At 47.2% G+C, this 22291-nt stretch overlaps 2 long non-coding RNA genes and 2 pseudogenes across 2 annotated transcripts; 2 read left to right on the top strand and 2 right to left on the bottom strand.

Annotated features, from left to right (window-relative positions):
- Window positions 1-1005: 1005 nt before the first annotated feature.
- LINC01061 (long intergenic non-protein coding RNA 1061) lies at window positions 1006-6143 on the top strand. Its single transcript, NR_037596.1, has 3 exons — window positions 1006-1149; window positions 1377-1434; window positions 1528-6143. It is a non-coding gene; the product is annotated as a long intergenic non-protein coding RNA 1061 (long non-coding RNA).
- On the bottom strand, window positions 6084-8585 carry LOC100131884 (capicua transcriptional repressor pseudogene; annotated as a pseudogene).
- Window positions 15878-21753, bottom strand: LOC107986193 (uncharacterized). The gene is made up of 2 exons (XR_001741431.2): window positions 18811-21753; window positions 15878-18185 (listed from the first exon to the last, which is right to left on the bottom strand). It is a non-coding gene; the product is annotated as an uncharacterized LOC107986193 (long non-coding RNA).
- GK6P (glycerol kinase 6 pseudogene) lies at window positions 16596-18803 on the top strand (annotated as a pseudogene).
- Window positions 21754-22291: the final 538 nt, after the last annotated feature.

The following is a 22291-nucleotide window of genomic DNA, read 5'->3' as shown; positions in this document are numbered from 1 at the left end:
TCTCATTACCCTTGATGTAAATTGACAGGGTTTTGGGTGCCTCCCAGCCTATAATCTTAGCACTTTGGGAGGCTAAGAGAGGAGGAGTGCTTGAGGCCAAGAGTTGGAGGAGGCAGTATGGCAGTATGGTGAGACCCTGTCTCCATTATTTTAAGAAATTGACAAGCTTTACCCGGGAAGGCTTATACACAATTTAAACACCCCTCATAGTACAAGAAAGTGCCCGTTTCACTGCACCTTTGCCAGCACAGGGTATTATAATTTACTAAGTCATTTTTTGTTTGATTATTTTAAATAGATAAAAGACCTCATATTACTTTACTTGTCACATTTCAACATCTTTCCTTAGCTTATTAGCTCTATCTCTTTTCTGTCTGTAAATGGTTGTTGTTGTTTTGTTCTTTGAGACAGCCTGCTCTGTCACCAGGCTGGACTGTAGTGGCATAATCATGCCTCACTGCAGCCTTGACCTCCCAGGCTCAAACTTCAGCGTTCCGAGTAGCTGGGACTACAAGTGTGCACCACCACTCCCAGCTAACTTTTTTCTTTTTTTGGATAGAGACAGGGTCTCACTGTGTTGTCCAGACCGGTCTCTAGCTCCTGGCCTTAAGCAATCCTCCTGCATTAGCTTCTCAAATTGCTGGAATTTCAGGCATGAGCCACCATGCCTGGCCTGGGCTAGTCCTGTATTCTCTAGAGTTCTCTTTACTTTGGGTTAGCCAATCTCTCATTATGCCGTTCACCTGTTATAATGAATAATTCTCCGTATTAAATTTTACCACTTTAAACTTTTGAGTGGTTTATGCTTCCTGATTGGACTCTGACTAATATGTTAGGAAGGGTCCCAGGAGATAAACCCACACAGATGGGATTTGGGCATAGGTTTGGTTTCCCAGGGGGCAGTGCTGAGCTCTTTGCCAGTGGGAAATGGGATGCTGGTGATTTCCAGGAAGTGACCTCACAATGACTCAAGCTACCACTTACTGTTGATTGTGACGAAATGCCAGCTGAGGCACATGCCTTGGGAGCTAAGTGGTTACTGCACTTGACCACTATGAAGACTGGTGTGGGAAGGGTCGCTTTGGATGCACTTGAGCAGGGCTCCCCAACCCCTGAGCCATGGAGCCGTAAGGAGCCACACAGCAGGAGGTGAGTGGTGTCGAGTGAGGGAGTGAGGGAAGCTTCGTCTGTATTTACAGCCACTCCCCTTTGCTCACATTCCCGCCTGAGCTCCACCTTCTCAGATCAGCAGCAGCATTAGATTCTCATAGGAGAATGCACCCTGTTGTGAACCGTGCATGTGAGGGATCTAGGTTGCGCTGTCCTTATGAGAATCTAATACCTATTGATCTGTCACTTTCTCCCATCACGCTCAGGTGGGACCATCCAGTTGCAGGAAAACAAGCTTAACATGCCCACTGATTCTACATTATGGTGAGTTCTATAATTATTTTATTAGATATTACAGTGTAATAATGGAAACGAAGTGCCTAATAAATGTAAATGTGCTTAAATCTTTTGGCCCAGCTCCTACCTCCCGGCAGCCTCTCCAGGCCCAGAACTTTCTCCAGTCAGCCTCTACAGACCAAGCTCATGACTCACAATGGCCTATTTAGGCCCATACCCTACCTCACGGCAGTCTCCGCAGATGAGCCTACTGCCTCACAACAGCCTCCACAGGCACAGCTCCATCGTTACAATGGCCTCTTTAGACCCAGCTCCTGCCTCCCAGCCTTCTCTCTAGGCCCTGAACTTTCTGAAGTCGACCTCACCAGGCCCAGCTCATGCTTCTTTGCAGCCTCTCCAGGCCCAGCTCCTGCATCTTGGTGGCCCCTCCAGGCCCAGCCTCTGCCTCCCGTCGGCCTCTACAGTCCCAACATCTGCCTCATAGCAGATTCTTGAGGCCCAGCATCTGCCTCACTGTGGACCCCCCAAGCCAAGCTCCCAACCTTTAGCAGCTTCTACACACCCAGCTCCTGCCACCCAGTGGCCTCTTTAGGCCAAGCTCATGCTTCACAAGGGCCTTTCCAGGCCCAACTTTCGTCTCATGGCAACCTTCCCTGGCCAGATTCCTGCGTGTCTCCCAGCAGCCTAGACAGGCCCAGGTCTTGCCTCACACTGGCCTCTCTACATCCAGCTCATGCCTCACAGTGACCTCTCCAGGCACAGCTCCTGTCCCAGAACGTCATCTCCGGGCCCAAAACTTACTCAAGTCAGCCTCTCTAGTCCCAACTGCTGCCTCCTGGTGGCCTATGAAGGCCCAAAATCTCCTCAAGTTGACCTCTCCCGGCCCAGCTCCTGCCTCCTGTCAGCGTCTACAGGCCCAACCTCTGCCTCATGGGGGCTTCTCCAGGCCCAGCTCTTCCTCTTGGCTGAGTCTACAGGCACAACTGCTGCCTCACAACAGCCTTTTTTGGCCCAGTTCCTGTCCAGCTCATGGCAGCCAATGTAGGCCCAAAACTTCCTCAAGTCATACTCTCCAGGCCCACCTTCTGCTTCCCGGTGGCATGAACAGGCCCAGCTTTGACTTGAGAACAGCCTCTGCAGGGCCTGCTCTTGCCTCCCAGGGGCTTTTCCAAGCCCAGCTCTTGCCTCATGGCAGCTGCCTCAGGCCAAATTTCTTCCTGCCTGCCAGCAGCCTCAACAGGCACAGCTCCTCCCTCACGGTGGCCCATTTAGGCCCAACTCATGACTGTCGGGCCATTTCCAGGCCTAGTGCCTGCCTCCTGGCTGACTCTTGAAGCCCAAAACTTCCTCAAATCAGCCTTTTGCCCAACTTGTGTCTACTGTCGGACTCTACAGGCCAGCCTCTGCCTCACAGTGGACCCTGCAGACCCAGATGGTGTCTCACTGTGGCATCCTCAGGCAAAGCTCCTGCCTTTCGGCAGCCTCTACGGGGCCAGCTCCTGCCTTGCAGTGGCCTCTTCAGGCCAAGCTCATGCCCCATGGCGACTTTTCCAGGCACAGCTTTTGCCTTTTGCAGCCTGTCCAGGCCCAGAATGTCCTTAACTCGGCATCTCCAGGACGAGCTCATCCTCCCAGTGCGTCTACAGGCCCATCTCCTGCCTCACAACAACCTCCTTTGGCCCAACTCCTGCTGAGCTGCTGGCAGCCTCTGTAGGCCACAGACTTCTTAAAGTAAAGTTTTCCAGGCCCACCTTCGGCCTCCCAGCAGCCTCAGCAATCAAACTATTCCCTCACTGCGGCCACCGAAAGCCAAGTTTCTCCCTGCCTCACAGCATCCTCCGAAAACTGAGCATTTGCCTCACGGTGGCCTCCCCAGGCCACGAATCTGCCTGCCTCCCAGGCAGGTGCTGCCTCACAATGGTCTCTTTAGGCCCAGCTTATGCTAAAAAATGGACTCTCCAGGCACAGCTCTTGCCTCCTGTTAGCCTCTGCAGGCCCAAATTCTCCAAAAGTTGGCCTCTCCTAACTCAGCTCCTGCCTCATGTCGGCCTACACAGGCCCAGACTCTTACCACACAGTAGACCCTCCAGGCCCACCACTTGCCTGATCATAGCCTCCTGAGGCCAAGCTCCTGCCTTTCGGCAGCCTCTACAGGCCCAGCTCCTGCCTCACAGTTGCCTTTGTAGGCCAAGATCATGCCGCAAAGTGGCCTTTCCTAGCCTAACTTTTGCTTTTTGATGCATACTCCAGTCCCAAAACTTCCTCCAGTCAGCCGGTCCAGGCCAAGCTCTTCCTCCCAAAGGCTTCTGCAGGCCAAAATCGTCCTGAAGTCACCCTCTGCAGGCCCAGCTCCTGCCTCCAAGTGCTGTGTAGGCCAAGCTAATGCCTCACAGCACACTTTCCAGGCTGAGCGTTTCCTTTTGTGCATCCTCTCCAAGCCCTGAACTTACTCCACTTGGCCTCTCCAGACCAAGCTCTCCCTCCCAGTGGCCTCTACAGGCCAAAACTGTCCTCAGGTCAGCCTCTCCAGGGCCAACTCCTAGCTACCAGTGGCTTCTACAGGCCAAAATCGACCTCAAGTCAGCCTCTTCACACCCAGCTCTTGCCTCTGAGTGGCCTCTCCAGGAGCAAAACTTTCTCAAGTCGGCCTCTCCAGGCCCAGCCTCCTGCTTCCCGAGGGCATGTACAGGCCCAGCCTCTGCCTCACAGCAGACTCTCCACACCCAGCTCTTCCCTGTCTGCGGCCTCTCCAGTCCAAAGCTGCTCCTGCCTTTTGGCAGCTTGTACAGGCTCAGCTCCTCCCTCACGGTGGCCTCTTTCGGCCCAACTCATGCCTCTTGCAACCTGCCCAAGTGTCAGCTCCTGCCTCACACTGGCCTGTTGAGGCCCAGCTTATGCCTCTCGTGGCCTCAACAGGCCCATTCCCTGCCTGTCGGCGGCCTCTACAGGCCCGGCCTCTACCTCACAGTGGGCTCTCCAGGCCCACCTCTTCCTCACCGTGGCCTCCTGGGGCAATGCTCCTCCCTCTCGGGAGCCTCTGCGGGCCCAGCTCCTGCCAGTGGCCTCTGTAGGCCAAGCCCATGCCTCAGGGCAGCCTTTCCAGGCCTAGTGTTTGCTGCTTTGCATCCTCTCCAGGCCCTGGACTTCCTCCAGTCGGCCTCTCCAGGCCCAGCTCTTCCTCTCGGCGGCCTCTGCAGGCCCAGACTGTCGTCAAGTCAGTCTGTCCAGGGCCAGCTCCTGCCTCCCGGTGGCCTCTGCAGGCCCAAGTCGTTCTCAAGTCGGCTTCCCCAGGCCCAGCTCCGGCCTCTCGGCGGCCTCTCCGGGTGCAAAAGTTCCTCGAGTCAGCCTCTCCAGGCCCAGCTCCTCCTGCCTCCCAGTGGCCTCTTTCGGCCCAGCCCAGCTCATGCCTCCCAGCGGCCTTCCCAGGCCCCGCTTTTGACTTTCGGTGGCCTCTGCAGGCCTCGACAAGGCCTGGCCTCCTGCCTCCCGAAGGCCTGCACAGGCCCAGCCTCTGCCTCACAGCAGACTCTCCACGCCCAGCTAGCTCTCGCCTCACTGCAGCCTCCCAAGTCCAAAGCTCCTGCCTCTCGGCCGCTTCGGCAGGCCCAGCTCCCGCCTGCCAGTGGCCTCTTCAGGCCCATGGGGCTCATTCCTCACAACGGCCTTTCCAGGCCCAGTTTTTCCCTTCCGGCGGCCTCTCCGGGCCCAGAACCTCCTCAAGTCGGCCTCTCCAGACCCACTTGCACCCTCCGGGTGTCCTCTCTGGGCCCAGCTCTTCTTCCTGGTTGCGTCTCCAGGCCCGACTCCTGCCTCTCAACAACCTCTTTGGACTCAGTGCCTACCCATCTCCTGGCGGCCTTGGTCGGCCCACAGCTTCCTGAAGCCAAGCTCCCCAGGCCCAGGTCAGGCCTCACGGTGGCCTCTCCAGGCTCAGCTCCTGCCCTCCGATGGCATCTGCAGGCCCCAAACGGCCTCCGGTCGGTGGGCTCCTCTAGGCCCAGCTTGGGCCTCCCGGCGGCCTCTGCAGGCCCAAGTCGTCCTCAAGTCGGCCTGGAATTGGGCCTGGAAGAGCAGCAAGTCGGCCTCCCCGGGCCCAGCTCCGTCCTCTCGGCGGCCTCTCCAGGTGCAAAACTTCCTCGAGTCAGCCTCTCCAGGCCCAGCTCCTCCTGCCTCCCAGTGGCCTCTTTCAGCCCAGCCCAGCTCATGGCTCTCAGCGGCCTTCCCAGGTCCCGCTTTTGACTTTTGGCAGCCTCTTCAGGCCCAGAACTTGACCTCCAGTCGGCCTTTGCAGTCCCGGCCTCCTGCCTCCCGAAGGCCTGCACGGGCCCGGCCTCGGCCTCGGCCTCACAGCGGACTCTCCACGCCCAGCTAGCTCTCGCCTCACTGCGGCCTCCCCAGTCCAAAGCTCCTGCCTTTCGGCCGCTTCTGCAGGCCCAGCTCCCGCCTGCCAGTGGCCTCTTTAGGCCCAGCTTATTCCTCACAACGGCCTTTCCAGGCCCCGTTTTTCACTTCTGGCAGCCTCTTGGACTCTAATTTTTTTATCTTTTGTGTATAAATCCCAAAATATGGAATTTTGGAATATTTCCATCATTATATAAATATTTTGGTAGGTAATTTATTTGGAGTGAGTTTCTGCACCAAGCCCGAATTTTTTATTTTATTTTCCTTATTATTTGGTGTTAAACAGGTTTAATGACGGTCATGGCAACTTTCTGGCACAATAAAAAATATCCCCGTGATCAACGTGTTCTGTTCTGGGGAAGGGGGCAAAGGCAGGGTGAATCACTTTCTTAAAAAGTACAACTCAAGTTGGGATAGCAGAGGGAATGGGGAGAAAACCCTCCCGCTGCCTGTGTCGAAGTGCAGGAGCTTCCACCCCCATACTCACCTGAGTCCAGCCCCTCTGGGGAAAGAAGGGGTGCATGAACTCCCCATAGTCGACAGGCACCTCCCTGTGGCCCAAGGCCCTCTTCACACTCCATCCTGTAGCCCCAGCAGGAGCTATTTTCCGAAAAGTGAAAAGCTCTGAAGGTCCCACACTTCATGATATGTACAGGGGCTCGGAGGAGGGAAACTGCCAAGCTTTCCCCCGGTACAGCTGCAGGGATAGTGGGTATATATAAGAGGAGCAGGCCTTGGCCAGGCCTGGTGGCTCACACCTGTAATCCCAGCACTTTGGGAGGTGGAGGCAGGCGGATCACGATGTCAGGAGATCGAAATCAGCCTGGCCAAGATGGTGAAGCCCCGTCTGTACTAAAAATACAAAAATTAGCCGGACGTGGTAGCGTGTACCTGTAATCTCAGCTACCCGGAAGGCTGAGGCAGGAGAATTGCGTGAACCAGGCAGGAAAAGGTTGCAGTGAGCCAAGATCGCACCACTGCACTCCAGCCTGGGCGACAGAGCAAGACTCCGTCTCAAAAAAAAATTAAAAAAAGCAGGCCTTATTCCATCCCAAACTGAAAGGATTAAATGGCTTTACCCGGGAGAAGATAACCATCCTGACCTCCATGGCTACCCCCACATACTGTCCATGTTCTCAGGGGGTACTGTGAGTCCTGGGATCTTCTTTGGGGTCGCCCATCTGCCTGTGGTAGTTATGGAGGGACCCAGGTGTTGAGGCAGGGCTGGGGTGTCCCCTTCCAGCCAGGCTGTCGAGGCCCCAACTCTGGGGCAGAGGCAGGGGCAAGGCACCCAGAGTTGCACCAGAGCCTGAGCAGGGTGAGGTGGGGTCAGGCAGGGCTGGGAGTCAGGGCAGGGGCAGCAGCAGTGGACCCGCTATGCACACATTTTCTTCTCCAAGGTTTGTGTGCAGAACATCCTGCCCATGCTGCCCCAGCAGCTTCAGTTGGCACCTGCCCCAGTCCAGCCTCTGGGACCATGCAGCGGCTCCCAGTGGCCCTGCACCCACCACCAGCATCCGTTTCACCTGCAGTTGAAGATCCGTGAGGTGCCCAGAAGATCATGCAGTCATCAGTCCCACGGAACAGCCCACGAGGCTGAGGCTCCTCCCACTGGACCGCCCCCCAACTGGCACCACTGCTGCCCCTGCCCCTACTCTCAGCCTCACGTGACTCTCGGGCAGAGGCAGTGGTGGGGCAGCCAGGGCAGCATCAGAGTCTGAGCCAGGTGAGGTGGGGTCAGGACCCCCGCAGGGCTGGGAGTCAGGGCAGGGGCAGAACAAACCTTGGAGGGGAAGATGTGTGCATAGTGGGCCTGGAGGGCAGCTGTGGCCTAGTGGACAGGAAGAAGCAGTGGGCCTGGAAGAGCTGCATGATCAAGGCCAGCACTGGTCCAGGGCGCGTGCAGTGAAGAGGACAGCGCCTTCTCCGTCTCCGGTTCCCTGAGCCCGTCCTCGGCTTCTCCACCTGTACAGGCAAAGGGGAAGCTGTCCCCATCACACATGGCACACTTGGGGGTGTTGGGCTTTGGGCTGCAGCTGGAGCATCTTCTCATCTTGCATTTGGGTGTGGTGGGGTCCGCCAGTGCGGGATCCATGTCCGTGGGGTTCCCTCTGCCCCAACCCCCAAAGCCCAGTTTCTCCTCTTCAGGCTCTGCCCCCTGGGTGGCTCAGCCCAGCTCCTGCCTAGGAAAGCCTTAGTGTTGGGAGGGACCACAATGACTGAGGGGCCTGGTAGCTCCAGGTCGCCCACACTTTCAGGTCTCTTGCACCAGAAGGTGGCAGGATCCATTGGGAGGAAACAGGTCACCTTGGAAGGCGTCCCTGGGCCCCCATCCCCAGGGGTAGGGGCCGTAGGGGGCCCGCTCTGCTGCCCTGACCAGACTCCTGGGCTTTGAAGGCTCCTGGGCCCAGTAAGAAGGAGGTGGGTGCCAAGGTTGAGGAGGAAGCATCCGAGAATGTGTAGGAGAAGGACGGGGTGGGACCATAGACTTTGCCAAAAACTGCAGGTGGATCGGGGGACCCTGGGGGCTCAGGATTCAGCAAGGGGCGGCAGGAGTAAAGGAGGAAGGAATGACAGGTGCAAATACCTTCCCATGAAAGCCCTTGTTGCGCTCTGGCTCCTCCCCAGAGCTGTCCCCACTCTCAGTCGGTCACCCACTCCTTGAACTTGAGATCAGTGTCAGTGGTGCTAAAGCCGTCATCAGCAATGACATCATCACCCCCTCCTCCTCATGGATGACCATGTGCTCCTCGTCATTCGCTATGTCCTCACTGGCCATGTGCTGGATTAATGAATGGATAAATGAAATTGGTATATACATACACTATATATACATACAATTCCTTAAAAAGGAAGGAAATCCTGTCACAATGCAACATGGTTGAAGCTTGAGAACATTATGCTAAGTGTAGTGAGCCAGTCACAAAAATAAAAAAATACTGTATGATTCCACTAATATGAGGTATCTAAAGGAGTCAAATTTATAGAAACAGGAAGTATAATAATACTTGCCAGGGACAGTGGAAAGTGGAAAAGACAAGTTGTTTAAAAGGTACAGAGTTTCAGTTTTGCAAAATGAAGACGTTCTAGAGATCTGTTTCACAATAAAGCAAGTACTTACACATGACACTACTGAGTGGAACACTTAAAATGGCTAAGGTGGTAAATTTCATGTTATATGTTCTTTACCACAAATATTTTTAAAAGTTTATAACCATTTGAAAACACTGGTGATGAAAATTAAAAAACAAAAATAAAAACAAAACAAGCAACTAGATTCAACTACTTTCCTTCCCCAGTGAGAAAGGAAGTGTTGCTATAGACAGTCAATGCATGTCACTGTCTTGACTTCAGTGGACAAATACCTGCTCTGCTAAAAAAAGAAAGATCACTGGGTTAACATCCCTACGTTTGGCCGCTCTCTTACCTTGTCAGCCTCCACACCAGACTTCTCAAGAGCAGATCTCAATTCTGAAGCCTCTGCGTGCTGATGCACACTCACATATTTATGTTATGGCATAGCCTCTGGCTCAATTTTACCTTGAAATAGTTCTTTGGAAGTCTTTTTCTTGGCATTAGTCCTTCTCAACCTCTCTGCTGATTTTAAGCTTAATGGCCTTCTCTACTGGTTAGGATTCTATATATTTTTCTACCTTTCTGACCACTGAATCTGCCTCCTTTACCTCCCTAAAACTAGGTATTACTATGGTCCTGCCTGCCTTCAGCCTCCTTTTGATTCTCCACTTGTTCTGTCTTAACTATCTAATGTATATTACTGTCCACAGTTATCTTTATTACCCTAATATTGTTGCTTCCAGATCCAACCTCTCCCCCAAACCCCAATGTTTGAATTTCTAGCTGTCTGTTAGTCTCCATATGAATATGATCTAATCATCATGGCTCTTTTAAACAAGACAGAGCCACCCAAACACCATGAAACCAGTAACACATATAAGCAGTCCTCTAAAACCTTCACATTAATTACTACCTTGGGCCACTTACCTTGGCCTGTTTTGAGTTCTGTGGTCTGACTTTTCATCATTGTGCATTTTTCCACTGATGCTATGCTTCACTCTTTGGCCTGATACTTTGATAAAGATTCTCTATGTCTGTTGATATTCCTCTCAACATAAATCAAGTTCTTCCTCTGGCCAAGCTGTCTTTGGCTACTGTTAAACATCTTGCCCAATCTGAGAACCTTTAAATTGATACTGCACTTCACTGCTGGCTCCCCCTCAAGCAAACAAGATGAGGATATACCTACATTTCAAACCGTTTCAGTGACCTCCTCCAGACACCTGCTGGACCTCCCGTGTTCCCTTTGTGTCCTAATGGCTTCACTCTGATTCCAAGGATGAATGAAGTCTTAGTCACAGTGATTCTTGCCTCCCTCCCTCTCTTTTATTATGTGATTAAAAACATAAAATTTACCACCGTAACCATTTTTAAGTGTAAAGTTTAACAGTGTTAAGTATATCCACACTGGGCCAGGCATGGCGGCTCATGCCTGTAATCCCAGCACTTTGGGAGGCCGAGGCAGGTGGAACACCTGAGGTCAAGAGTTCGATACCAGCCTGGCCAACATGATGAAACCCCGTCTCTACTAAAAATACAAAAATTAGCCAGGAATGGTGGTGGGAACCTGTAATCCCAGCTACTTGGGAGGCTGAGGCAGGAGAATTGCTTGAACCCGGGAGGCGGAGGTTGCAGCGAGCCTAGATTGCACCACTGCACTCTAGCCTAGGGAACAAGAACAAAACTCCATCTCAAAAAAAGTAGTATATTCACACTGTTATGAAAAAGATCTAACATTTTCATCTTGCAAATATGAAATTCATTAAGTACCTACCCTTTCCCTCGTCATCCCACTCTATTTTAACCCCTAATGTGAATTATTTCATAAACCCTGTTAATTCTTTCTCAGTAATGCCATAAAAATCAAAAGATTTAATAGTATAAGAGATCTGAAAGGTCACCTGGCACAGCTTCTATAATATGTATGCATAACCTCAAAAATTTTCACAATAAATGGTTATCTGGCTGTAGTTTACACACATCAACAGATGGCAAGACAGTCACATCATCCTTGAACACTGATAAGGTTTGGCTCTGTGTCCCCATCCAAATCTCATCTTGTAACTCCCATAATTCCCATGTGTTGTCAGAGGGACCTGGTGGGAGATGATTGAATTATGGGGGCAGGTCTTTCTCGTGCTGTTCTCATGATAGTCAATGAGTCTCACGAGATCTGATGGTTTTAAAAATGGGAGTTTCCTTGCACAAGCTCTGTTTGCCTGCTGCCATCCATGTAAGATGTGACTTGCTTCTCCTTACGTTCCACCATGATTGTGAGGCCTCCCCAGCCATGTGGAACTGTTAAGTCCAATAAACCTCTTTCTTTTGTAAATTGCCGAGTCTCAGATATGTCTTTATCAGCAGTGTGAAAATGAACTAGTACAGTAAATTGGTACCAGTAAAGTGGGGTGCTGCAGAAAAGATACCCAGAAATGTGGAAGCAACTTTGGAACTGAGTAACAGGTAGAGGTTGGAACAGTTTGGAGAGCTCAGAAGAAGATGACAGAAAACATAGGCCAGGCCAACATAGAGCTCAGGCCGTGGCCTCCAAGGGTGCAAGCCTCAAGCCTTGGCAGCTTCCACGTGGTGTTGAGCCTGTGAGTACACAGAAGTCAAGAATTGAGGTTTGGTAACCTCCACCTCGATTTCAGATGTATGAAAATGCCTGTATGCCCAGGCAGAAGTTTGCTGCAGGAGCGGGGTCCTCATGGGGAACCTCTGCTAGGGCAGTGCAGAAGGGAAATGTGGGGTCAGAGCCCCCACACAGAATCCCTGCTGGGGTACTGCCTAGTGGAGCTGTGAGAAGAGGACCACCATCCTTCAGAACCCAGAATGGTATCACTGATAGCCTGCATCATGTGCCTGGAAAAGCCACAGACACTCAACACCAGCCCCTGAAGGCAGCCAGGAGGTAGGAGCTGCCCAAGACTGTGGGAACCTATATCTTGCATCAGTGTCACCTGGATGTGAGACGTGGAGTCAAAGGAGATCATTCTGGAGCTTTAAGATTTGACTGCCCCACTGGATTTCAGACTTGCATGGGGCCTGTAGACCCTTTGTTTTGGCCAATTTCTTCCATTTGGAATGGCTGTATTTACCCAATGCTTGTATCCCCAATTGTATCTAAGAAGTAACTAACTTGCCTTTGATTTTACAGGCTCATAGGCGAAAGGGACTTGACTTGTCTGGGATGAGACTTTGGACTGTGGACCTCTGAGTTAACGCTAAAATGAGTTAAGACTTTGGGGGACTGTTGGGAAGGCATAATTGGTTTTGAAATGTGAGGATATGAGATTTGGGAGGGGCCAGAGGTGGAATGATATAGTTTGGTTCTGTGTCTCCACCAAATCTCATCTTGCAGCTCCCATAATTCCCATGTGTTGTGGGAGGGACCCAGTGGAAGACGACTGAATTATGGGGATGGGTCTTTCCCATGCTGTTCTCGTGATAGTGAATAGGTATCATGAGATCTGATGGTTTTAAAAATGGGAGCTTCCTTGTACAAGCTCTCTTTGCCTGCTGCCATCCACATAAGATATGACTTGCTCCTCCTTGCCTTTCACCATGATTGTGAGGTCTCCCCAGCCACGTGGAACTGTTAAGTCCAATAAACCTCTTTCTTTTGTAAATTGCCCAGTCTCGGATATGTCTTTATCAGCAGCATGGAAATGGACTAATACAAACACTTACTATTAGAAGTTCTTCTGTACGTTGCTCTAAAATCTTTTTCACTCTTATTTTGTAACACTGATAATTCTGCCACCACAATAAACAGAACAAGATTAATTAATCTGTCTCTTATGAAATTCCTCAAAATCTTACAGAGAGCATTATATTTTCCCAAATTATCCTTCAATGGTCTGTACCATCCTATGTCCTTCAACCACTGCTTGCACAACATGATTTGGGGTCTTCATCATCACCCTGACTATAAATTCAGGGCTCTAGTGCATCAGTCTCTCTCAAAACACTGAACCGAAAAATAAACTCAATTTCATAGCTATGGTCTGATCTGGACAGAACAGAACAGGATAATCACCTTACACCTTTCTGGACACGATTACATAATTGGTTCTCACTGAATATACCATCAACTAAAAGCCTAACATCTTTGCATCAGTTTGGTTAATATAAGCCTAACGCAACACAGCCAAAGTGAAAAATTCTTCCGTTTCAGTGAATGAATTCTTTTTCATCCTACTGTATCTCAGTAAGGTACAGTAAAAATCAACAGCTACTGCACACTTGCTGTAAATATGCACACACTAAAATGTACCTACAAAGAATTTACCTAAAATGTAATGCTAAAAGGTAGGTCATCTCAGAGTTTAATCTGTTTCCTCTACTTATACTCAGAGTTAGTTCCCATATCTATGATCTTGCTTCATTCACCTCCTCTCTATGTTCATTACACTAGTTCTAACCCTATTACCAACCTCAATTATTGCTTCCCAACCTTTCACCCACATACTGACAGGTCATTTTGTTTATGGATCATAGCTTATGACATTAGTAATTTACCTTCAGTAGTTCACCACTGGCCACTGAATAAAGCCCAACATAGTTATACTGACATTTAATCATCAGTTGCTTCTCTCTAAACAAATACCATAACTGCAATAGGGAACAATTCCAGGTAGTAAAGACTATGCCATCAATATGCTATATACGTTAAACACATAAACTACACACACATAATATATAATATACATATGCATCCTTCCATATATGTATATGGAATATACATTCCATTCCTTCCATAATTAACATATATGCTCATTACTCTCTAAAGCAATTGAACTTTTCTATTTCCCTCCAGGAAATAAAATAAGCTAATCATGAAATGAAAGACAGTCCCTAGAATTTGCCATACCAGGTCAAGAGAGAGCATCAGGGCTGGGCGCGGTGGCTCACGCCTGTAATCCTAGCACTTTGGGAGGCTGAGGCGGGTGGATCACAAGGTCAGGAGATCGAGACCATCCTGGCTAACACATGAACCCCTATCTCTACTAAAAACACAAAAAATTAGCCAGGCATGGTGGCAGGCGCCTGTAGTCCCAGCTACTCAGGAGGCTGAGGCAGGAGAATGGCCTGAACCCGGGAGGCAGCACTCACACTGAGCCGAGATCGCACCACTGCACTCCAGCCTGGGTGACAGAGCGAGACTCCATCTCAATAAAAAATGAAAAAAAAAAAAAAAAAGAGCATCAGGTTAGGACCCTCATCCCAAATAAGTGTAATAAAATCAACAATATAAGTCTCAAATGTTATTTGTTCTGTTTTGTATCCTGTAATAAGGTACAAAGTACCCTTTGTATTTGATTTCTAAACACCAAGCACCTTTTTGAACAAAATTAAAACGCCATGATGGTCTCCATAATTCCTCTATACTCAATGCAGAGTCCCATTTGAGAAGTCAGGGCAAAAGTATGAATAACAGTAGTCTCTTATGAAGGGGTGGGTTGCCCCTCCACACCTGTGGGTGTTTCTCGTTAGGTGGAACGAGAGACTTGGAAAAGAAAAAGACACAGAGACAAAGTATAGAGAAAGAAATAAGGGGACCCAGGGAACCAGCGTTCAGCATATGGAGGATCCCGCCAGCCTCTGAGTTCCCTTAGTATTTATTGATCATTCGTGGGTGTTTCTCCGAGAGGGGGATGTGTCAGGGTCACAAGACAATAGTAGGGAGAGGGTCAGCAGACAAACACATGAACAAAGGTCTTTGCATCATAGACAAGGTAAAGAATCAAGTGCTGTGCTTTTAGATATGCATACACATAAACATCTCAATGCTTTACAAAGTAGTATTGCTGCCCGCATGTCCCACCTCCAGCCCTAAGGCGGTTTTTCCCTATCTCAGTAGATGGAACATACAATCCGGTTTTATACGGAGACATTGCATTGCCCAGGGACGGGCAGGAGACAGATGCCTTCCTCTTGTCTCAACTGCAAGAGGCATTCCTTCCTCTTATACTAATCCTCCTCAGCACAGACCCTTTACAGGTGTGGGGCTGGGGGACGGTCAGGTCTTTCCCTTCCCACGAGGCCATATTTCAGACTATCACATGGGGAGAAACCTTGGACAATACCTGGCTTTCCTAGGCAGAGGTCCCTGCGGCCTTCCGCAGTGTTTGTGTCCCTGGGTACTTGAGATTAGGGAGTGGTGATGACTCTTGAGGAGCATGCTGCCGTCAAGCATCTGTTTAACAAAGCACATCTTGCACCGCCCTTAATCCATTTAACCCTGAGTTTGACACAGCACGTTTCAGAGAGCACGGGGTTGGGGGTAAGGTCATAGATTAACAGAATCTCAAGGCAGAAGAATTTTTCTTAGTACAGAACAAAATGGAGTCTCCTATGTCTACTTCTTTCTACACAGACACAGTAAAAATCTGATCTCTCTTGCTTTTCCCCACATCTTAGATCCACAAGCAGCTCATCCCTAACAGACAAAGTGTTTTTGGGAAAACAGAAATATCTCTGGTCTTCATTTTCCTAATTAATAAAATGAAAGTGTTAGACTAGATAACTGCTAAGATTTCCTATAACATTAATACTCTGTGATTCTTTGACTTTCAACACTATTAATCTTTAGGAGAAAAAAACCGTGTATGTCTCCAGCAGTTCTATTAACATAAGGCAGTTTTAATGAAACCTGAAAACAGTTAACTCATGTAAGCTAGAAAAAATTGCTGTCAACAAGGCACAGCAGAGACTGCATGTAGTTTACTAAGGAATAAAGAAGACCATAATGAATGCATGAATATACAAATAATTAACTCTTTTAAGAAGCATCATTTGAGTTGGCATAACTTCAGCTAAAAAGTGCTGTGTATCAAGTGCTTTCACAGTTCTCCAAAGGAAGAATCTTCTGTATCAGTAAATTAACATTACAATAGACTGTTGAATAATCAGCATCTATTCTTTGGCATGCATATCCCATGGCTAAGGCTAGTAATACTATTATTAAAACCACTCACTCAACACTAATTTCTTTCAAGAGGGCGGCATTCAAATCGAGTTTATTCTAACCGATGTTTATTCCAAGCAGTGATTCCTAGCCTAAATTATAGAAAGGTGGGCAAATGATTGAAGTAAATTTTCTATAGAAGAAACTGTTATAAAAACTGGTTTTACAGAGAATAACGCATATTCCAAATATACTTAATTAGGGTGTGAGTTTATTGTTACTGGACTATAAAGTTAGATTATAAGCAAGGGTTAAATTGTATTGAGCCTGTTATCTATCACACACAACAGTGTGGGCAATGCCAGGCACATAAAGAGAATAGCTTTGAAATGACTGACTACTGGGTCTAGGCTGAATGGCCAAGAGTTGGCTGGAAGAACAAGGGCCAAAGAGCACAGATTTATGAAGAAATACAAGAGAATGAGAAGGCACACATCTAGTCCGAACCAAGGTGGGGACCCCAGAGTTCTAAATACCAGAAAGGTCCAACAGACCCTGGAACTGCAGTCTAAGGTGATGAATGGGTTTGTGGGGGGAAGATGATAGTCACAAGGAGCTATGAAGGAGTCTCACGTGAGCCAACAGTATAGATTCTGAAGGCGTTTATGGCAGGAGAAACAAAATACACAGGGAAAGATAATCTCAGTGTTAAAGACAGATGTATGCCTGGAGGCCAAGGGAGAAAATGAGCTGCAGAGAGAATGCAGTAGCCTGCTAGCCAGCCAGTAAAGAAGTGAGGCTGGTTCAGCGGACTCGCGCGGCCTCGCTCTTTGGACTCATCACTCGCCCCTCCCCCTCCCGCCGCCGTCACCCAGGAAACCGGCCGCAAATGCGGGCGGACCTGAAGCTGGTTTCATGGCAGCCTCAAAAAAGGCAGTTTTGGGGCCATTGGTGGGGGCAGTGGACCAGGGCACCAGTTCCACGCGCTTTTTGGTTTTCAATTCAAGAACAGCTGAACTACTTAGTCATCATCAAGTGGAAATAAAACAAGAGTTCCCAAGAGAAGGATGGGTGGAACAGGACCCTAAGGAAATTCTACATTCTGTCTATGAGTGTATAGCGAAAACATGTGAGAAACTTGGACAGCTCAATATTGGTATTTCCAACATAAAAGCTATTGGTGTCAGCAACCAGAGGGAAACCACTGTAGTCTGGGACAAGATAACTGGAGAGCCTCTCTACAATGCTGTGGTGTGGCTTGAACTAAGAACACAGTCTACCGTTGAGAGTCTTAGTAAGAGAATTCCAGGAAATAATAACTTTGTCAAGTCCAAGACAGGCCTTCCACTTAACACTTACTTCAGTGCAGTGAAACTTCGCTGGCTCCTTGACAATGTGAGAAAAGTTCAAAAGGCCGTTGAAGAAAAACGAGCTCTTTTTGGGACTATTGATTCATGGCTTATTTGGAGTTTGACAGGAGGCGTCAATGGAGGTGTCCACTGTACAGATGTAACAAATGCAAGTAGGACTATGCTTTTCAACATTCATTCTTTGGAATGGGATAAACAACTCTGTGAATTTTTTGGAATTCCAACGGAAATTCTTCCACATGTTCGGAGTTCTTCTGAGATCTATGGCCTAATGAAAGCTGGGGCCTTGGAAGGTGTGCCAATATCTGGGTGTTCAGGGGACCAGTCTGCTGCACTGGTGGGACAAATGTGTTTCCAGATTGGACAAGCCAAAAATACGTATGGAACAGGATATTTCTTACTATGTAATACATGCCATAAGTGTGTATTTTCTGATCATGGCCTTCTCACCACAATGGCTTACAAACTTGGCAGAGACAAACCGGTATATTATGCTTTGGAAGGTTCTGTAGCTATAGCTGGTGCTGTTATTCGCTGGCTAAGAGACAATCTTGGAATTATAAAGACCTCAGAAGAAATTGAAAAACTTGCTAAAGAAGTAGGTACTTCTTATGGCAGCTACTTCGTCCCAGCATTTTCGGGGTTATATGCACCTTATTGGGAGCCCAGCGCAAGAGGGATAATCTGTGGACTCACTCAGTTTACCAATAAATGCCATATTGCTTTTGCTGCATTAGAAGCTGTTTGTTTCCATATTCGAGAGATTTTGGATGCCATGAATTGAGACTGTGGAATTCCACTCAGTCATTTGCAGGTTGATGGAGGAAGGACCAGCAACAAAATTCTTATGCAGCTACAAGCAGACATTCTGTATATTCCAGTAGTGAAGCCCTTGATGCCCGAAACCACTGCATTGGGTGCTGCCATGGCGGCAGGGGCTGCAGAAGGAGTCGTCGTATGGAGTCTTGAACCTGAGGATTTCTCCGCCGTCACAATGGAGCGGTTTGAACCTCAGATTAATGCTGAGGAAAGTGAAATTCGTTATTCTACATGGAAGAAAGCTGTGATGAAGTCAATGGGTTGGGTTACAACTCAATCTCCAGAAAGTGGTGACCCTAGTGTCTTCTGTAGTCTGCCCTTGGGCTTTTTTATAGTGAGTAGCATGGCAATGTTAATCAGAGCAAGGTACATCTCAGGTATTCCATAAAACCTACCAACTCATGGATTCCCAAGATGCGAGCTTTTTACATAATGAAAGAACAACCCAGCAATTGTCTCTTAATGCGATGACACTATTCATAGACTTTCATTTTATTTATAAGCCACTTGCTGCGTGACCCTCCAAGTAGACCTGTGGCTTAAAATAAAGAAAATGCAGCAAAAAGAATGCTATAGAAATATTTGGTGTGTGTGTGTGTGTGTGTGTGTGTGTTTTTTTTTTTTTTTAACATCCACAGTTAAGGTTGGGCCAGCTACCTTTGGGGCTGACCCCCTCCTTTGCCATAACATCCTGCTCCATTCCCTCTAAGATGTACGAAGAATTCAGATGCTCACCATTGGAATCTTCCATCAAACATACTCAAACACTACTGGAACAGGACTTGAGTCTCTGCATGACATATACTTGATTAAAAGGTTATTACTAACCTGTTAAAAATGAGCAGCTCTTCGCTTTTAACAGACACCCCAAAAGTCTTCTTTTCTACATAGTAGAAGATGGAAACACCTTCACTGAATGTTTGAATAGAAACATCTACTAAATTATTAAGATAGACATTTAGTGTTCTCATAGCTTGGATATTTTTCTGAAAAGTATTTGCCAAAACTGAAATCCTTCCAATATTTTCCATGGTCCCACTAATTATAATGACTTTCTGTCTGGATCTTATAGGAAAGGATACTTTCTTTTTTCTTCCATCTTTCCTTTTTATATTTTTTACTTTGTATGTATAACATATATGCCTATATATTTTATACACTGAGGGTAGCCCATTTATAAATTAAGAGCACATTATATTCAGAAGGTTCTAACAGGGCTGGTCTTAAGTGAACCACTATGTATATAAATATGTTGGAAAACAGCTGTATACATTTTTGAGCAATGGTTATGCATAATATTTACCAGGAGAATTTTTTTCTTAAATAGCCAACATTTAAAATTTATGTTTTATGTCCATAAAAGAAAATATACTTTATTGTGACTTCAACTATATTTCTTATCCATTACATTTTTATTTAATTGTCTTAGCCTAAAAAAAAGAAGAAACTGTGGAATACTACAGTAAGTACTGTTTTCAAACACAAGCAATAATTCAAATAGTTTTCTTTTGAATTAATTTTAGACATATTTCGGATCCTATTGAGGGGATAAGAGGATGTCAAAAAAGTTAAATACCTAAATAGAAAAAAATATAGAAATAAAGCCAAGAATCTCTTTCAGTTCAAATATTATCAATTGTTAATAAGAAATTGCTATCTGGGATGACAAAATTATCTCTGCTTAGTATCTTATTATAACTGAAAAAAGGTTTATCATTACAAATGCCTTCCAATGAAACCAAGAATTTCTCAAAATATTTAATGTCACATATTATAAGAAGTTACCTAATCTAGCTTCTTAACGTCAATTTTAAAAAATATCTTGAAATTACTTTGTTTTGTAGTAAACAGTGAAAAAAAAAAGTGAGGCTGATGGCAGCGAGAGCAATGGTCTGGAAGTGGTACCCTTCTACCTAGGTTCCCAGTGAGCTGTGGTGAGTGATCCCTTCGAGAAGTCTGCTCACGACATACAGGTTTGGGAGAAACACAAAGTTTCGTTTACGACAAAGACAGAGGGGACACACATGAAAATACTTGTGCATATAAAAAAGTTTGATCATTTTATAGGCCTAGTGGAAAGGACAGAAGCTGGACAGTGAGGGATGCCTGAACAGGCCTGGGTAAAGTAGTTACTACCACCGGGGCCTGGGATATATAAACTAATAACAGAGTTAAGAGCCAAAGAATGGAAAATAAAATGAAAGCACATCGGTAACTGGAGGACTTCTTTTTTGTTGTTGTTATTGTTGAGATGGAGTCTCTCTGTCGCCCAGGCTAGAGTGCAGTGGTGCGATCTCAGCTCATTGCAACCTCCGCCTCCTGAGTTAAAGTTATTCTCCTGCCTCAGCCTCCCAAATAGCTGGGACTACAGGCACATGCCACCATGCCTGGCTCTTTTTTTTTTTTTTGTATTTTTAGTAGAGACCAGGTTTCACCATGTTGGCCAGGCTGGTCTCGAACTCCGGGCCTCAAGCAATCTGCCCATCTCAGCCTCCCAAAGTGCTGGGATTGCAGGTGGGGGCCACCATGCCCAGCTCTGAAGGAATTCTCCACAGGTAGTCCTGTTACTGAGGAATGCTGAGTGCTTACCAAGCCCAGAATTTCAGCTACAGCTCTAGCTTGAAAATGATAGTCAGGCTGGGTGTGGTAGCTCATGCCTGTAATCCCGACTCTGGGAAGCCAAGGCAGGAGGACTGCTTAAGGCCAGGAGTTCGAGCACAGCCTGGGCAACACAGCAAGAGCCCGTCTCTATTTTAAAAAAGAAAAAGAAAATGATACCACAAACTTCGCCAAAGATCAGTTAGAACTAGTACTAAGTAGTTTCTCAAATTTTCAGTATGGGAAGTGGTGATGTATAGGAATGACTAAAAATCTGAAACAATTTTTTTCCCCTTAAATGTGCTTGGCTATCAACAAGAAATACTGAATAAAATTCATATTTCAAGTTATAATTAAAATCCAATTTCCAAAGAGTCTTTTGCTAGAACTATTAAGATGCATCTAAACCAATGAGTTCAATTTTTATCTCCTCTATATTTTTGGCCTGCCAAAAATGCTAAAAATAAAGGTGCTAATGATTTGAGAAATGGTTAAAATATAGATACCACCCAAGAAACATGAGAAGAGTCCACAAACCAGCACTCTCTGAATAAGTTAGTACAGTTGGGGTTAACTGAGAAAAATTTCATTTTTAGACATGATACAAAAAATAATTTCATACAGCTTTTTAAGCTAAAATAAAATAAAATAAAATAAATGTTTCAGGAGTGTAACAAAGGCTGACCATAGTCCAGAACACCATGCCTCAGCATGCAGGCCATTTAACCTGGGTGGTCTGGTCACACTGAGCTGTCACTCCACGCCTTGGAGAAGCAGGGTGTTCAGTGCGACGGGCTGTCACTGCCAGAGCCACGCTGCTGAAGCCACGAGAGCGTCTCAGGGTGAGCAGTGTGGATTCCACATCCTCCCCTGCTCTCACTCTCTAACCTACCCATTTGGTTGCTCACATTTTTACTTTCCCTAAAGATACTGATGTTATTAAAAATAAGCATGAGTTCATGGAAGAGATCTCCATGGAACACTGTTAATTTTTTCATTATACCTGTACAATTTAATTTAATTATAATGTATTCTAGAAAGCTTGTTTCCAATGGGCAAGAGAAAGAAATGAAGCAGTTCTTATGTCCGGAATCTCCAGTGAGTTTTCAAAGGATAGAGAGTGCTCTTTTTTTTTGAGACGGAGTCTCGCTCTGTCACCCAGGCTGGAGTGCAGTGGCGCGATCTCTGCTCACTGCAAGCTCCGCCTCCTGGGTTCAGACCATTCTCCTGCCTCAGCCTCCCGAATAGCTGGGACTACAGGCTACTGCAACCACGCCTGGCTAATTTTTTGTATTTTTAGTAGAGACGGAGTTTCACCGTGTTAGCCAGGATGGTCTCAATCTCCTGACCTCATGATCCGCCTGCCTTGGCCTCCCAAAGTGCTGGGATTATAGGCGTGAGCCACTGCACCCGGCCCGAGAGTGCTCTTCTTATATGCAGTCACACCATGGACCAGACAATACCCCGAGGTCCTGCAGGCTTTCTCTCCTTATCCATCCTTTTTTCCCTCAGCTTCTTTCTCCTCCCTTCTGCTTTACTTGTATATATGTATGTATGTATTGAGTCATTTATTGCTATTTATTTCTTCCCTTCCTTCTTTTCATTCCTACCTAGAAAAGCCTGTCACAAGTCCTACTGCCTATGATAGGGAAAAGAAAAAGAAAAGGAAAAATATTAACTTTACTGCCACTGTGTCCCGTCACCCTCTTGG

This window comes from Homo sapiens, chromosome 4 (genome assembly GCF_000001405.40).
Source record: "Homo sapiens chromosome 4, GRCh38.p14 Primary Assembly".
Taxonomy (NCBI): Eukaryota; Metazoa; Chordata; class Mammalia; order Primates; family Hominidae; genus Homo; species Homo sapiens.
This window is presented reverse-complemented; position numbering and strand designations above follow the sequence as displayed.